We start from the raw sequence: 19,053 nt of genomic DNA, 5'->3' as shown, positions 1-19,053 counted from the left end.
TCCTCTTCTCTATAGCTCTACTATCACTGCATTTTTGCAGACCATCATTATCACATATCTATACTACTGTAACACTCTCCTAAATATTCTCATCAGTTCCATTTTTCTTTTCCTCTGACCTGTCTTTTACAGAGTAATAAAATATCTCTTCATGAAATAAAAGTTGGACTCATCATTTACCTGCTTAAAATGCTTTAATGCTTAGCTTGTCTATAAAATAACCATCATTTTCTCCCCTGCTTCTATGCACATATCATCCTCCATTGACAAGTAAAGTCTATTATTTCATTCCCTTGATTCTGGATTGGCCTGTGACTGCTTTAAATAATAGAATATGCCAAAAGTAATATTATTCCAATTTCAAACCTACCCTTTAAGAAGACTGGCAATTTCTATTGTATTTTTCTTATAACAATTACTCTGGAAGAAGCTAGCTTCCTAGAACAAGCTTGGCTATTCTGTGATTTCCATACTGTAAGGAAGCCTAAGCAATCCATGAGGATGGGCCACTTTGGGAGACAGCAATGTCAGCAAACCCTTTGCTTCCCCAGCCATTCTAGCTTAGGTGCTAGACATGTGAGCCCGAGAGCCATCTTAGATATTCCATTTCCAATAGATGCCATCTGGAAAAGTAGGCATCACAAGGCCTGTGTAGTCCATTCAGGCTGCTATGACAAAATACCTTAGACTGGGTAATTTATAAATAACAGAAATTTATTTCTCACAGTTCTGGAGGCTGGGAAGTCCAAGACCAAGTTATCAGCAGATTTGGTGTCTGGTGAGGGCTTGCTTTCTGCTGCCATGATGGTGCCTCTTGCTGCATCTTCATGTGGTGGAAGGGTCTTTTACATACCACAACACACTGGGTGTCTTCACGTGGTGGACGGAAAAAATGAAAAGAAGAAAAAGCCCTAGAGCATCCATTCAACCTCTTTTATCAGAGTACTCTTTTATAAGAGTACTAATCTATTCATGAAATCATGAGAGTAAAACCCTCATGACTTAAATTACTACCTAAAGGGCTCCAACTCTTAATATTCTCACATTCTGTATTAAGTTTTAACAAATGAATTTTAGAGGATTATGTGCAATCAAATCACAGCAAGGACCCAGAAATATAGACCTAGACAACACATCCCAGACACCAGTAATTGTTCAAGTCTCTTCACATGAGGTACCTGATATTATGGAGCAGATATTCACAACCACTGATGTGCCATTCTGAAATTCCTGACCCATAGACTCATGAGCATAGTCAAATGGTTGTTGTTTTATACTATTAAATTGTGGGTAAGTTTTAATGCAGCAAGAGTTTCCAGAAACGTAGATAAAAATACAAAGTATGTCTTTACTTTGTATTTTTTTATTTATTTTTATTTTTTTATTTTTTATTTTTTTCTTTTTCTTTTTTAGTTTATGTTTTTTTTTATTATTATACTTTAAGTTTTAGGGTACATGTGCACATTGTGCAGGTTAGTTACATATGTATACATGTGCCACGCGAGTGCGCTGCACTCATCATCTAGCATTAGGTATATCTCCCAATGCTATCCCTCCCCCCTCCCCCCACCCCACAACAGTCCCCAGAGTGTGATATTCCCCTTCCTGTGTTCATGTGATCTCATTGTTCAATTCCCACCTATGAGTGAGAATATGCGGTGTCTGGTTTTTTGTTCTTGCGATAGTTTACTGAGAATGATGATTTCCAATTGCACCCATGTCCCTACAAAGGACATGAACTCATCATTTTTTATGGCTGCATAGTATTCCATGGTGTATATGTGCCACATTTTCTTAATCCAGTCTATCATTGTTGGACATTTGGGTTGGTTCCAAGTCTTTGCTATTGTGAATAATGCTGCAATAAACATACGTGTGCATGTGTCTTTATAGCAGCATGATTTATAGTCCTTTGGGTATATACCCAGTAATGGGATGGCTGGGTCAAATGGTATTTCTAGTTCTAGATCCCTGAGGAGTCGCCACACTGACTTCCACAATGGTTGAGCTAGTTTACAGTCCCACCAACAGTGTCAAAGTGTTCCTATTTCTCCACATCCTCTCCAGCACCTGTTGTTTCCTGACTTTTTAATGATTGCCATTCTAACTGGTGTGAGATGGTATCTCATTGTGGTTTTGATTTGCATTTCTCTGATGGCCAGTGATGATGAGCATTTTTTCATGTGTTTTTTGGCTGCATAAATGTCTTCTTTTGAGAAGTGTCTTTTCATGTGCTTCGCCCACTTTTTGATGGGGTTGTTTGTTTTTTTCTTGTAAATTTGTTTGAGTTCATTGTAGATTCTGGATATTAGCCCTTTGTCAGATGAGTAGGTTGCAAAAATTTTCTCCCATTCTGTAGGTTGCCTGTTCACTCTGATGGTAGTTTCTTTTGCTGTGCAGAAGCTCTTTAGTTTAATTAGATCCCATTTGTCAATTTTGGCTTTTGTTGCCATTGCTTTTGGTGTTTTAGACGTGAAGTCCTTGCCCATGCCTATGTCCTGAATGGTAATGCCTAGGTTTTCTTCTAGGGTTTTTATGGTTTTAGGTCTAACGTTTAAGTCTTTAATCCATCTTGAATTGATTTTTGTATAAGGTGTAAGGAAGGGATCCAGTTTCAGCTTTCTACATATGGCTATCCAGTTTTCCCAGCACCATTTATTAAATAGGGAATTCTTTCCCCATTGCTTGTTTTTCTCAGGTTTGTCAAAGATCAGATAGTTGTAGATATGTGGCGTTATTTCTGAGGGCTCTGTTCTGTTCCATTGATTTGTATCTCTGTTTTGATACCAGTACCATGCTGTTTTGGTTACTGTAGCCTTGTAGTATAGTTTGAAGTCAGGTAGTGTGATGCCTCCAGCTTTGTTCTTTTGGCTTAGGATTGACTTGGCGATGTGGGCTCTTTTTTGGTTCCATATGAACTTTAAAGTAGTTTTTTCCAATTCTGTGAAGAAAGGCATTGGTAGCTTGATGGGGATGGCATTGAATCTGTAAATTACCTTGGGCAGTATGGCCATTTTCACAATATTGATTCTTCCTACCCATGAGCATGGAATGTTCTTCCATTTGTTTGTATCCTCTTTTATTTCACTGAGCAGTGGTTTGTAGTTCTCCTTGAAGAGGTCCTTCACATCCCTTGTAAGTTGGATTCCTAGGTATTTTATTCTCTTTGAAGCAATTGTGAATGGGAGTTCACTCATGATTTGGCTCTCTGTTTGTCTGTTGTTGGTGTATAAGAATGCTTGTGATTTTTGTACATTGATTTTGTATCCAGAGACTTTGCTGAAGTTGCTTATCAGCTTAAGGAGATTTTGGGCTGAGACAATGGGGTTTTCTAGATATACAATCATGTCATCTGCAAACAGGGACAATTTGACTTCCTCTTTTCCTAATTCAATACCCTTTATTTCCTTCTCCTGCCTAATTGCCCTAGCCAGAACTTCCAACACTATGTTGAATAGGAGTGGTGAGAGAGGGCATCCCTGTCTTGTGCCAGTTTTCAAAGGGAATGCTTCCAGTTTTTGCCCATTCAGTATGATATTGGCTGTGGGTTTGTCATAGATAGCTCTTATTATTTTGAAATACATCCCATCAATGCCTAATTTATTGAGAGTTTTTAGCATGAAGGGTTGTTGAATTTTGTCAAAGGCTTTTTCTGCATCTATTGAGATAATCATGTGGTTTTTGTCTTTGGCTCTGTTTATATGCTGGATTACATTTATTGATTTGTGTATATTGAACCAACATTGCATCCTAGGGATGAAGCCCACTTGATCATGGTGCATAAGCTTTTTGATGTCCTGCTGGATTTGGTTTGCCAGTATTTTATTGAGGATTTTTGCATCAATGTTCATCAAGGATATTGGTCTAAAATTCTCTTTTTTGGTTGTGTCTCTGCCTGGCTTTGGTATCAGAATGATGCTGGCCTCATAAAAAGAGTTAGGGAGGATTCCCTCTTTTTCTATCAATTGGAATAGTTCCAGAAGGAATGGTACCAGTTCCTCCCTGTACCTCTGGTAGAATTCGGCTGTGAATCCATCTGGTCCTGGACTCTTTTTGGTTGGTAAACTATTGATTATTGCCACAATTTCAGCTCCTGTTATTGGTCTATTCAGAGATTCAACTTCTTCCTGGTTTCATCTTGGGAGAGTGTATGTGTCGAGGAATTTATCCATTTCTGCTAGATTTTCTAGTTTATTTGCGTAGAGGTGTTTGTAGTATTCTCTGATGGTAGTTTGTATTTCTATGGGATCGGTGGTGATATCCCCTTTATCATTTTTTATTGCGTCTATTTGATTCTTCTCTCTTTTTTTCTTTATTAGTCTTGCTAGCGGTCTATCAATTTTGTTGATCATTTCAAAAAACCAGCTCCTGGATTCATTAATTTTTGAAGGGTTTTTTGTGTCTCTATTTCCTTCAGTTCTGCTCTGATTTTAGTTATTTTTTGCCTTCTGCCAGCTTTTGTATGTGTTTGATCTTGCTTTTCTAGTTCTTTTAATTGTGATGTTAGGGTGTCAATTTTGGATCTTTCCTGCTTTCTCTTGTGGGCATTTAGTGCTATAAATTTCCCTCTACACACTGCTTTGAATGCGTCCCAGAGATTCTGGTATGTTGTGTCTTTGTTCTCGTTGGTTTCAAAGAACATCTTTGTTTCTGCCTTCATTTCGTTATGTACCCAGTAGTCATTCAGGAGCAGGTTGTTCAGTTTCCATGTAGTTGAGCGGTTTTGAGTGAGATTCTTAATCCTGAGTTCTAGTTTGATTGCACTGTGGTCTGAGAGATAGTTTGTTATAATTTCTGTTCTTTTACATTTGCTGAGGAGAGCTTTACTTCCAAGTATGTGGTCAATTTTGGAATAGGTGTGGTGTGGTGCTGAAAAAAATGTATATTCTGTTGATTTGGGGTGGAGAGTTCTGTAGATGTCTATTAGGTCTGCTTGGTGCAGAGCTGAGTTCAATTCCTGGGTATCCTTTTTGACTTTCTGTCTCGTTGATCTGTCTAATGTTGACAGCGGGGTGTTAAAGTCTCCCATTATTAATGTGTGGGAGTCTAAGTCTCTTTGTAGGTCACTCAGGACTTGTTTATGAATCTGGGTGCTCCTGTATTGGGTGCATATATATTTAGGATAGTTAGCTCTTCTTGTTGAATTGATCCCTTTACCATTATGTAATGGCCTTCTTTGTCTCTTTTGATCTTTGTTGGTTTAAAGTCTGTTTTATCAGAGACTAGGATTGCAACCCCTGCCTTTTTTTGTTTTCCATTTGCTTGGTAGATCTTCCTCCATCCTTTTATTTTGAGCCTATGTGTGTCTCTGCACATGAGATGGGTTTCCTGAATACAGCACACTGATGGGTCTTGACTTTTTATCCAATTTGCCAGTCTGTGTCTTTTAATTGGAGCATTTAGTCCATTTACATTTAAAGTTAATATTGTTATGTGTGAATTTGATCCTGTCATTATGATGTTAGCTGGTTATTTTCCTCATTAGTTGATGCAGTTTCTTCCTAGTCTCGATGGTCTTTATATTTTGGCATACTTTGTATTTTTATTTATGTTTCTGGAAACTCTTGGTGCATTAAAACCACAATGAGATACCATCTCACACCAGTTAGAATGGCAATCATTAAAAAGTCAGGAAACAACAGGTGCTGGAGAGGATGTGGAGAAATAGGAACACTTTTACACTGTTGGTGGGACTGTAAACTAGTTCAACCATTGTGGAAGACAGTGTGGCAATTCCTCAGGGATCTAGAACTGGAAATACCATTTGACCCAGCCATCCCATTACTGGGTATATACCCAAAGGACTATAAATCATGCTGCTATAAAGACACATGCACACGTATGTATGTTTATTGCGGCATTATTCACAATAGCAAAGACTTGGAACCAACCCAAATGTCCAACAATGATAGACTGGATTAAGAAAATGTGGCACATATACACCATGGAATACTATGCAGCCATAAAAAGTTGAGTTCATGTCCTTTGTAGGGACATGGATGAAATTGGAAATCATCATTCTCAGTGAACTATCGCAAGAACAAAAAACCAAATGCCGCATATTCTCACTCATAGGTGGGAATTGAACAATGAGATCACATGGACACAGAAAGGGGAATATCACACTCTGGGGACTGTTGTGGGGTGGGGGGAGGAGGGAGGGATAGCATTGGGAGATATACCTAATGCTAGATGACGAGTTAGTGGGTGCAGCGCACCAGCATGGCACATGTATACATATGTAACTAACCTGCACAATGTGCACATGTACCCTAAAACTTAAAGTATAATAAAAAAAATGCAAAGTATGAAATCCCATAATTCAGTAAACATTTTGGTGTGTTTTCTTCTAGTTCTTTGTCTATACATAGGCTAAATTAAGGAGTTCTAACTATATAAGCAGCTGTACTTTACCCCTTTTATTTTACATTATATTGTCAGTATGCTTCATGTTATTAATTATAAAATTTATTTAGCAATAATGTATTCTTTCATATTAATAATGGAATACATTTAACAATTTTTAGATCACTTATTCCCTCACTGGGAAAATATAAAAGTCATACAATATGAAATATCTCAATTTTTCTCCCCCATACTATTATAAATTGATTTACATTGATTTTTATTTCTTTTTTCCCTTTTCCTATTTTTATTCCTACTCCTCATTTCCTGTTTTTGAACTTTCTTAGAAAATACCCATCATAGATTAATCTTACCAACACATTACCAGACAAACTGATTTTACTTGGTAAGCACATTAACTCAAATCTCAAATTGGCATTGCATACTGTTGGACAATTTTGTTAACTTTGAGGGTAGAATCACCTTCCAAATCTTTGAAATTTCATCCTTACTCAAATCTCTCTTGTGCCTTCCTGTACACTGCTGTCAGCTACTAATTTCCTCTCATATATCATTAAATAGCCAACAGAGGAGTCTCCCCAATTTTCCCAGCACCAAATCTATACTTTTCCTTGAGTCATGATATTCCGCTGGGTTCTGTTTCAGTACAGTATTGTGCTCTGGATCCCAAATCTCCTGATTTTCTTAAAAACTGTGACTCATTTTGTTATATACTCTATTTTTTTTTCACATTTGATATCTCTTTCTATGGAATCAATCTCCTATACTCCATTTATCTCCTCCCTAAATGGTCAACTTCTCCAAAACCTTTTCCTGCAAACAATATTTACCTACCTTTAAAAATGCCACCAATAACCGGCACATTTCCTCTTCCAATAGTACCTTCTCTGTTCTCTGTTGTCTGGATTGTCTCTTATCTGACCACCCATCTGCATTTGTAACATTGACCATACCTTCCCTTTGAAAATACCCTCTTTAACTTTCTTATTCTACTGTCATCTTCTGATTCTTTACCTGTTTCATTTGTCACTCTTCATTCTCCTTTGTTAGCTCATTTTTCTTTACCTCACAACTTTTTATTGGGGTTCCATCTTCTCTTCGTCTTTTGACAATTTGTCAACAAGATGCCATAAATTCTCCTAGATTTAAATGCCAACTTTTCATGGTTACTTGACTGACTTAATTTGTATCTCAAGCTCAGGTCTCATTTCTGGGCATGCAAATTAAGATCCAGCTATTAATCTAACATCTCCTCTTGGATCGCCTGTAGCCATACCAAATTTCACACATTTTCTTTGGTGGGATTTACTAGCAGTAAGCTTTGAGGTGGGGATTTGGGAGCAAGAGAATTATTAAGGGAGTATGCCTGAGAGAAAACTGTAAGAGAGTGGAGAAAGCAAGTTGGAAAGGGTTTAAAAGTTAAGTAAGAATGGTTCCAATTGAAGTCTAACTTCATCCTGATCCCCTGAGAGGTTTTGGAGTGTAACTTGAACTAAGGAATCTGACCTGGTCCTGGTCTTTTATACACCACAACACACTAGGTGTATCCCCAGGGGAGCTGGCAAAACTACAGTCACCTTTGTGTGTGACAGATCCAATAGCCTAAATCCAGTTTTTCAGGAAAGGTTGAAAGTTTAAGCTGGAGCAGGAGTACCTTGAGCAACTGGGAAATCGTACACCAGAATGATAGCAATGATACCGGAGTGGGATTTCTCCGGGTGGTTTGAAAAACAATTTACTTAATAAAAACATGTTATTTGCTAAAATATAATGGGTCTGTTATTGTTAAGTGAATTAATAAGCATTTTAAAAATAAAAATTCGTTTAGTCATACTTGTCACATTTTAAGTGCTCCATGAAAACACATGCCTAATAGCCACCATAGCACATAGTATATGGCACATAGTAGGCACTCAAAAGGTTTTTTGTACAGATACTGATTAAAATAACTCCATCTAGGCTGTTGAAACATTTCCTGTGACTCATAGTCTCACAACCATGTGCATGAGCTCAAATTGTCCCTCTGTCTAAAAGTAATCTTTTCCTTCCCCTCAGTTTCCCCAATCCCAACCTGAAAAATAGCTGCTTATTTTTTAAGCATCATCTTGTCAATGAAATGTTTTGACTCTTTTCTTCAAAAGAAGCAATTACTTCCTTCTTTCTGTCCTACTGTACTTTTATGAATTTTTATCTTAGGATTATTTTTTATACTTTAATGCATTTTAAAGCTATATTGATAGCTTCTAGATGATAAGAATTACGCTTTATTTCTCTTTGTAATGTCTACATTTGGAACAATTCTGGCATGTAGAAGTCACTTAACAAATTGTGGTTGAAAGAAAAAAATAGATAAAACTCCCTCCTCTTTTTATTTTTCATGTTCTTAAAACATCTGTTACTTTTACCTTTTTCATATATTTGACTCTCAACTAACTTCTCCTTTCACATACAAACATGCTATAGATTTTAATTAAAAATTACATTTATAAAATTTTCTTTGACTTCGTAGTAAAAAAATGTCACATGTTTGGAAATAGCAATTTCTTGATATGTAGGTAGTTTATTTATGACAATGGCCAATAACATACAAGTCTGCAACCTTTATTCATAATTCCTAAACCTTACATGTTCCCCAAATTAAAAAGTTTCATTGTAACTCATCTGGTAATAATGGTAATGAATCCTAATTTAGTGTGCACTGACACAAAACTATACTGATCTCAGTTAATGTGAATATTCAAATGGTATTTGAATATATCTGCCACAGTATTTTCCTGAAATCAGAAAGCTTCTGAATTCTGAAACATGTCTAGCCTTAGAAATTTGAGATGGTCTGTGGACCCGTAAATCATTGTGTCTATTTAGACACAATAAATATACAATTTGTAATAACAGATGCTGCTGAGATTGTAGAGAAAAAAGAATGCTTATACACTGTTGGTGGAGTTAAGTTAGTTCAACTATTGTGGAAGACAGCATGGCAATTCCTCAAAGACCTAAAAACAGAAATATCATTCAACCCAGCAATCCCATTACGAGGTGTATACTCAAGGGTATATACATTGTTCTGTTATAAAGACATATGGGCCGGGTGTGGTGACTCACATCTGTAATCCCAGCACTTTGGGAGGCCGAGGCAGGGAGATCATCTGAGGTCAGGAGTTTGAGACCAGCCTGGCCAACATGGCAAAACCCCGCCTCTACTAAAAATATAAAAGTTAGCCAGGTGTGTTAGTGGGCACCTGTAACCTCAGCTACTGTGGATGCTGAGACAGGAGAATCGCTTGAACCCGGGAGGCAGAGGTTGCAGTGAGCCAAGATTGCACCACTGTACTCCAGCGCAAGTGACAGAGTGAAACTCTGTCTCAAAAAAAGAAAAAAAGAAAAAAAGAAAAAGACATATGCACACATAAGTTCATTGCAGCACTATTCACAATAGTAAAGACATGGAATCAACTTAAATGCCCTTCAATGGTAGACTAGATAAAGAAAATGTGGTACATATACACCATGGATTACTATATAGCCATAAAAAAGAATGAGATCATGTCCTCTGCAGGAACATGGATGGAGCTGGAGGCCATTACCCTTAGCAAACTAATGCAGGAACAGAAAAACACATTCCTCATGTTCTCATTTGAAAGGGGGAGCTAAATGGTGAGAACACATGAACACATACAGGGGAACAACACACAGTGGGACCTATCAGAGGTTGGAGGGTGGAAGAAAGGAGAGGATCAGAAAAAAATAACTAATGGATACTAGGCTTAATACCTGGGTGATGAAATAATGTGTACAAGAAGCCCCATGACACAAGTTTACCTGGACATGCACCCCTGAACTTAAAAGTTAAAAAATATACAATTTGTAAATTATTTTATCAAAATGTAAAAGCAGTTTACCAAAGACAGTTTTTAATTGGTTTATTCATTAAAAAAGTTCTATGGCTAGTTATTAAAGTTTTAAAAATTCAACAAAAATTATCTTTGGTACTATTGTAAACTAATGTTTGTGTCCCCCCATCAAAATTCATATGTTAAAACTGGATCCCCTATGTGTTTGGAGGTGGAGTTCTTAGGTAGTTAGGTCATGAGAGTAAAGGCCTCATGAATGGTGCTAGGGCCTTTATAAAAGAGAATGCAGAGAGAAAGCTTACTCTCCTTCAGCTATGTGAGGTTACAAGAAGAAGTCAGAAGTCTCAACCTGGAAGAGGGCCCTCACCAGAACCAGACATGATAGCACCCTGATCTTGAACTTTCAGACTCCAGAACTGTGAGAAATAAATTTCCATTGTGATTTAGAGGGTTGATAAGCCCCTCTACAGAGTCCCCACTGGGGCACTGCCCAGTAGAGCTGTGAGAAAAGGGCCACCATCCTCCAGACCCCAGTGTGGTATATTCACCGACAGCTTGTACCATTCATCTGGAAAAGCTGCAGGAACCCAACACCAGCCTTGAAAGCAGCTGCGGGAGCTGTACTCTGCAGAGCCACAGAGGCAGAGCTGCCCAAGGCCTTGGGAGTACACCCCTTGCACCAGGGTGGCCTAGATATGAGACCTGGAGTCAAAGGAGATTATTTTGTAGCTTTAAGATTTAATGACTGCCCTGTTGGGTTTCAGACTTGCATGGGGCCTGTAGCCCCTTTGTTTTGGCCAATTTCTCCCTTTTTTAAGAGGAGCATTTACCCAATGCCTGTACCCCCATTACATTGTGGAAGTAACTAACTTGTTTTTTATTTTACAGGCTCATAGGAAGAAGGGACTTGCCTTGTCTCAGATGAGCCTTTGGATTTGGACTTTTGAGTTAATACTGGAATGAGTTAAGAATAGGGGGACTGTTGAGAAGGCATGATTGCGTTTTGAAATATGAGAAGGACATAAGATTTGGAAGGAGCCAGGGGTGGAATTATATGATTTGGCTCTCTGTCCCCAGCCTTAGCATCCCAATGTTGAATATGGCCATGTGGCTTTGATGCTGAGAGGCAATAGTTTAATAACTGACACACTCACTGAAACCTGATGGAGAGATTCATTGAACTGCTTTCTCAGATCAGACACTTTTTAGAAATAGATATCTCTGAGACCTCCAACATGTTGGCTCACCAATTGTTTACAAAATTTTATTTTTTACTGATACAATAGAGTAGTTCAGCACAATAAACTTGAAATTGAAGGGAAAATTACAAGAACGTTGCTGATTTGTTCTAGGAAGTGAGTACGTTCACACTCAAATTGTTCATGCAGATTGGGCCAATGCCCATTGGAGATTCCATTCATTTTCATTGCTAAACTTTCCTACAATCAATGGAACCATGGATACTGAAGAACTGCAGAGTTATTTACTGGAAATACAGTCACAAAATTGGGGGAAGTTTACAATCTTTGAGCATGAATCACGCTTTAAGTTTCTATGATTGCTTTTGGAGTGTGAACCTCTGTGTGTGACTGAATTGTCAAGCATCTGTCATATCATTTCAAGATGATTTTTTTTCTGCCAGTAGAAGTATATCTATCAAGAAGACAGAGTATCCTGCAATTTTAGATATAAACAGTATAAGTATAGAAAATTCCCAAACTATTCTGTAACTTCTGGCTATATGCCCACTTTTGGCTCTGTAAAAATGTGTTTTCTTTCTTAAATATAATAAAACTAAACCTTAGAGCCATTTGGTCATTATATGGATAAAAAGTAAGGCGTTTTATTTTTATATCCCTGAATTAGTCCATTGTCACACTTCTATAAAGAACTATCTGGGACTAAGTAATTTATGAAGAAGAAAGGTTTAATTGACTTGAGGTTCCACAGGCTGTACAGGAAGCATAGTTGGGAGGCCTCAGGAAACTTACAATCGTAGCAAAAGGCAAAGGCGAAGCAAGCATGTCTTACCATGGTGGAGCAGGAGAGAGAGAGAGCAAAGGGAGGGGTGCTATCACCTTCAGACAACCAGATCTTGTGAGAACTCTATCATGAGGTGGCACTAGGGGGATGGTGCCAAACCATTAGAAACCACTCCCATGATCCAATCACCTCCCACCAGGCCCCACCTCCAACACTTGGGATCACATTTCAACCTGAGATTTGGGTGGGGAAACAGAGCCAAATTTCTGTTTTGCAATTTCTGCATTTCTGTTTTGCTAGTTGACTTCTTGCTGGACTTGGCTTGAAGAGACAGAGAGTAGGACAGACAGTAGGAAAAAGAGTAGACAGAGAGTAGGAGGCTGGAGGAGAAAGAAGAGACAAGCTCCTTCCTGATCATTTTCTATTTCTGAGTTTATTTCCTGCTTCTATTGTTGTTACACTAGCAATGTTTCCTCGCCCTGGCAGCAAAAGTTTTTCTAATAGCACAAGTATATCATTTTTTTGTTTCTCCAAAATGCCCCACAGCAGCTTTATTGAACACCTTCAAAGATATCAGCACAGCTGGCAAGTGCCCCCTTCTCAAAGTCTGGATTCCACCTACACAGGGTCTCTTCTCTGAATATTGGCAATATCAATACCAGATGGCTGGACACCCCTCCTCAGAGATTCTTAGTGCCCTTTCTCTGGTGCCCCTCCTCCTCCAAACTTCTAACTTTTAATAATTCTAATCTCATCTACTTTCTCCCACAACCCTAGGGGTAGTAGGTGCTTCCTGCAATTACAATTTCTTTGATGCCTTAGCATTCACTTCTTAACTTTACAGTTCCCTTATACCTAGGCTAAAAATTATTTATATCAAATCTTCAAAAGCAAAAATTGGCAAATGGGATCTAATTAAACTAAAAAGCTTTTACACAGCAAAATAAACTATAAACGAAGTAAACTGACAACCCACAGAATGAGGGAAAATAATTACAAACTATGCATCTGACAAAAACCTAATATCAGAATCTGTAAGCAACTAACAAATTTATAAGCAAGAAACAACTACATTAAAAAGTGGGCAAAGGACATGAACAGACACTTTTCAAAAGAAGACATGCATGTGATTAATAAGCATATAAAAATGCTCAATATCACTAATCATTACAGAAATGCAAATCAAAACCACAATGAGATACCATCGAACACCAGTCAGAATGGCTACTATTAAAAAGTCACAAAGTAACACATGCTGGTGAGGTTGCAGGAAAAAGGGAATGCTTATACACTGCTGGTGGGAGTGTAAATTAGTTCAGGCCCTGTGGAAGGTAGTATGGCAATTCCTCAAAGAACTAAAAACAGAATTACCATTCGACCCAGCAATCCCATTATTGGGTACACACCCAAAGGAATGTAAATCATTCTGTTATAAAGACACATCCACGCAAATATTCATTACAGCACTTTTCACGATAGCCAAGATGTGGAATCAACCTAAACACCCATCAATGATAGATTGAATAAAGAAAATGTGGTACATATACACCATGGAATACGATGCAGCCATAAGAAAGAATGAGATCATGTCCTTTGCAGAAACGCGGATGGAGCTGGAGACCATTATCCTCAGCAAACTAATGCAGGAACAGAAAAATAAATACCACATGTTTTCACTTATAATGGGAGCTAAATCCTGGAATACATGGGCACAAAGAAGTGAATAACAGACATCGAGGCCTACTTGAGGATGGAGGTTGGGAGGAGGGTGAGGATAGTAAAACTACCTATCTGGCACTTTGCTTAGAACTGGGGTGACAAAATAATCTTTACCCCAAACCCCCTCGATGCAAATTTACCTATATAATGAACCTCCACAGGTACCACTGAACCTTAAATAAAAGTGAAAAGAAAAACAAATAAAATAAAATAATGGGTGTGATGTCTGTCTTCTGACTGGAACCTGACTGACACAAGGACACAACCATAGGATTGCACTAAAATGAACTCAAACATAAGACGTCTCCTAAATATTCCTAAAAAGCAAGTCCAGTGAAATGTCTTTGATTACTTTTACCATCACAATGTGTGGTGTCTCATTTGCAGTTTAAGAGTACTAATTCTTGTTGTCAGATTCCGCTTGTAACTTCAAGTCCTCTTGCCCTTTTTAAAAACAATTGTAGATACCCCATGTGGCAAATAAACTCTTTTTTCTCATATTTAGACTACACTTCTTGAATTTATTGCTGAAAAGACATTACTCAAAAGGAACATATGCTAACATAATTAAGAACATGTTCCTTTGGTAAAATTCTAGGTGAGCTCCATTTGATCTTAGGTCACACACCGAATATTCCCTTTTTAAAAAATATTCAAAATAAAAAAGTTTGTATTGTGAGGGTTTTTTTGTCAGTTGTTTTGTTTACTATTTCCAAGTCATATTGCATCCTGGGCTTTGTTTTCACATAAATAACTGGGAGCTTGCGTTAGCATTTTCAGTTTTCCTGAGGCATAAGCTCAAATTAATACTGATATCTCTACATATCACTCCTACAATTTTTAATCTGTTCTTAGAATTCTTTAGTAAAGATTTAGGTGCATGGAGGATAGAAGAAATGCCATGGAAAACAGCTTCAAAATCTTTGGTTTGTGGAAATCAGTTTTTGTAAGCTTCATAGTTCAGCTTCCTTTTTATAAGCTATTCCTAAATGCCCTGAAATGAGAAGTAAAACAAATTTCCTGGATTTTTCTTACTAGTATCACGTTGTATATGTAAACATGCTTTCCAGTGAGTAAGCATAAGTAAGGTAGATCCTGCCCAGAGAGTTCACCAGCTTACAGGGACACTACAAAGGAGGACAACAGAGAAGAGACTGTTTTGCTTTTGTTTGAAATTCACAGCAGCTGTTATATTCTTCTTGACTGGTTCCAAATTTAATAAGGCCCAATAAATCTCTAAGAAAACAGCCCTGAGACACTGCTATTGTTTTTATTTTGTTGTTGAGTTCATAGTGCAAAGTCTCTCTCTTCAGTACTCTTTTTGGCTAATATCAGATTAGATTATGCCAAATATAAACCCCAAAACACTAGCCAAGAAAAATAGAGAAAAATCACATCTCTGGCAACTAACAGAAAGCTTCTCTTAAAAAGCTTCTTTAAAGTCTAATAGCATCTGCAAATCCGGTGTCTGTAACCTTGCTAGTCTGGCTATTCTCACAGCCGTACGTGCTCTTTCCAAATCATTGCTTCAAATTCCTGGTTATTGTTACCTTATAAGTAACTGGGGTGGGAGAGTGGAATATCATAAAAAGCACATGTAATTTCCCTGGTTTGCAAAATGCACCCCAGTCGGCTTCAGTGGGAGCACTATTATAGAATATATGCACCCAGGCTAAGTATCCGAAAGGAACTCACCACTAATGTGAGTAATATGTTTTCAATTTTTAATGAAGTGTTAGTTGTCCACAACAGTATCTCTTTTAGGTTCCAGGCTGTGTGCCAGTGATAAACTGCATAGCGCAACATCTTATCTATTTTTAAGTGACCAGTCTTTAGAGGCAAATTTCCTGTTTCTCTCAGTGAATTGATGGAGTGGTTGCCTGCTGTCAAATACTTTCCCCAGTGTATGTGGTGTGATTATTTTTTTTTTTTTTGGTCGGGAGACAAGAGACTTAAACATATTTCCGCTTCCTTTTTTGTGCAAAAGTTTAAGAAATACGCACAACTGGGGTAAATCTTCCAATAAGCTAGAGACTCAGGCAGAAATCCCAAGATTTATAATCCCACTGTTACGAATATGAGTAAGTCGGCCTGCTAGATAAGCAGATAAAAGAGAGGAGAACCATCCTCTATGCTGCAGCTTATTTGGAAGTAAGTGCAAGTAACCTTACTTCCAGATAGGATGTGATAAATAATCCAAAAAGGCAGAATAAAAACAACTTCCTCTGTGAAGATGAAAAACAATCAAGACCAGTGTCAAGTGCCTGTTGGATGGAAGAACGTGGCTAAGGAGAAGAAAGGGAAACTCTGAGCTACTGAGTCTATTCTTTAGAAACAGAGACTAATAAGGAAGGTTTACAGGGACTTGCAAATGTAATGAACAGGTACTGACACCAAAAGATGTCTTCCCTGCAGAAGCACACAAAGGTCTCTGCATTCAGTCCTGAGATGACTTATTAAAAGGTGAGCATCGTATTCCTTGAACATATATCTGAGATTTGCTGGAGATCCCAGGGAAATTTGTAAAACTCTAGTTTTACAAATGGACTTCTAGTCAGGTTAGCTGATTTACATGATACTGTGAGAACTTTTCTCATTTATTTCTCCGGCAAATTTGAAGTCCAATTAGAAAGCTAAAGATTAGAAGGAAGCAGACTACTTCAATTTCTTTCCTTTTTTATTTTCGGGTTGTGACTTTAGTAGATAAATAGAATGTTGAGAAGAGCATAGAACATCAGAATTTTATATTCTGAATCATCACTGAGGATACCCAAATAATAAAATTAAAAAGAAATTGTTTGGCTGGAAAATACTGTTCTGATCAAAATAAATTTAAAATAGAATTTGAAGGGAAAGCATTAATGAAGAAAAATAACTAGAGAAAACTGTAAAACTTATATAGTTGTAAATGGCTATATCATAAAATGTAATAAAGAGCAGAGCAGTGTTTCTCTAAAGAATAAAAGAAGAAATTCAAGAGCAACATCAATATCTTCAGAGAAGTGTAATGTCAATGTACAATATAAGTTATAAAGTGTGCCTTAAGTTTAATTTGCTAAATATTCTCATCAGGTAGGTAGCAACAAAATCTTGGGTTGGGACACTTGACCATAGTGCAGAAACATAAATGTTTTGTTTAAAAAGCAGATCCAAAGAAAAGGAAAGGAGAATATGTTAAAACGTGCACACACACACAAACACACACATATGCATGCTTCCTAGAAAATACCTGAAGATAGAGGCCTGATAGAGATATTTAGGTAATAAGAAAAGTGGAAACTACAATAACGTTGAATTAAAAAAATCTATAAATTATTTGTGGAGACATATGTGATCCTTCTTTAATGAAAATGATTCTGCTGTAACATCAGCACTCAGGGCTTTAGACTCAAAAGCTGCATTCTGCTACAATCAAAATAGTTTATAAATTATGCCTTGCTTAGTTGATAATTTTTTCTTTCCTCAGACGGCTGAGAAAACAACTAGTAGAACTGATATCCTAGATCAATGTTGATCCCTTGAAGGTGGCTATGGAGGAAGAGGATTTATCTTTGCAAAATCCCCCCAGAGATTCAGACACCCTTTCTCCTTCAGATTTGAAAATCAGTACCTTAGGTTTCCTTCCAAGCAATATTAAGTAATAGACTATTAGAGGTTTGTCAATTGATTATTAAAGGATATGGGGTTATCATATCAGATATTTAACATATCAGGTATTTAATCAGTTGTAGGTTGAATAGTGCTAGGTAGTAGAAATATAGACTGAAAAATTTAACAAAGAGGTGGATATTAATAATTGTTGAGCAGTTGCTTTGCTCCTGGTACTGAACTATACTTACATAGTTAAGCAAAAATATTTAATATTTTTTTAAAAATTCACAGGTATTATATCACAACGTATTATCATCATCAAATCACAAAAGAAGAATGACAATTCTGAGGTTAAATCACTTGCTGCAGCTCCCATAGGCAACCAGGCTGGAGTTATGATCTGAACCCATCAGTTTAGCTCCAAAGCTCAGGCTTTATGAGTGTGACTCTGTGACCTGAAGGAACTCGCAAGTCTAAACCCTCTTAAAATGTCCCTTCACAGGCACCTATATAAGTCCTTGTAATGGCACAGGAAATCTCTGACAAGTTTGGATTTAGAAGGCACCTATGTAAAAGATGGAAGGTGGGCATTTGAAAGAGTGGAATAATCCCTGAGAGTAAATGTCAGTAAGGCTAAATACAAAGACTTTTTAAAAATAAAGAGGACTTTATTGACCATATTCTAAGCAAGAAGAGCACACACAAAATCCATTGCTGTTTAGGAAGATAGTGTATTATCAAATTACAAGGAGGCAAAAAATCTCTTCTCACCTAACTTTTGTATTCTTTGCCATGTTTCCAAGTATAAGAATAGTAGTCTAGTACACAAATGTCCAAGAACTGTAAAAAGTTTGCAGCCCTTTTGTCCTCATACTGCTAAATCTTTAATAGTATTTGTAGTCTCTTCTGCCATCTGAGGTTTTTCCAATATTAATTTATCTTTACTCCTCTCCATTGTGCTTAGTCAGACACAGGTATAAACTGGCAGCCTCTAATTAACTACCTAAGGAAAATCACCCTGCACCCACAAAGAGATCCACAATTGGCTTAATTAGAACCAAAAAAAGCACTATTAAAATTAAGTTTCATCCTGTGCCTCTGTGCATATATAAGCCTTTAATACATGGAAGACGCTTGCGTTTAGTCATTTTACACATACTGTATGTAAATTATAAGCTTTATCACTCACAGTAGGTGGTCAGGGGAACTGTTCAGTATATATTTGTACTAATTACCTTGGAAGTTCCTTATCTCTGTCAAACTCTTCTTAGCATCCAGCAAACATAGAAGTTGATAAATAATAACTAAACTCCTAGTTAGTAGGATTAAGGTAGTAACTGAGATCAGTATTACTATTTTTGGCAGAGAGAGCTTCTGTCCCTGTGTAGCTCCTTCTACCTTTTTATAATCATTGCCTATCTCAAATGTCTGAAAATGGAAAATCATAGAAGAGCTGTAAGACTGCCCCACCGCCTGAGCCTAGATCTGGTCCTTAAGTGTGCCAGAACTCAGTCCATCTCCTGAACAAAGCAAGAGACGT

Source organism: Homo sapiens, chromosome 14 (assembly GCF_000001405.40).
Source record: "Homo sapiens chromosome 14, GRCh38.p14 Primary Assembly".
Classification (NCBI taxonomy): domain Eukaryota; kingdom Metazoa; phylum Chordata; class Mammalia; order Primates; family Hominidae; genus Homo; species Homo sapiens.
Note: the sequence above shows the minus strand (reverse complement) of the source record.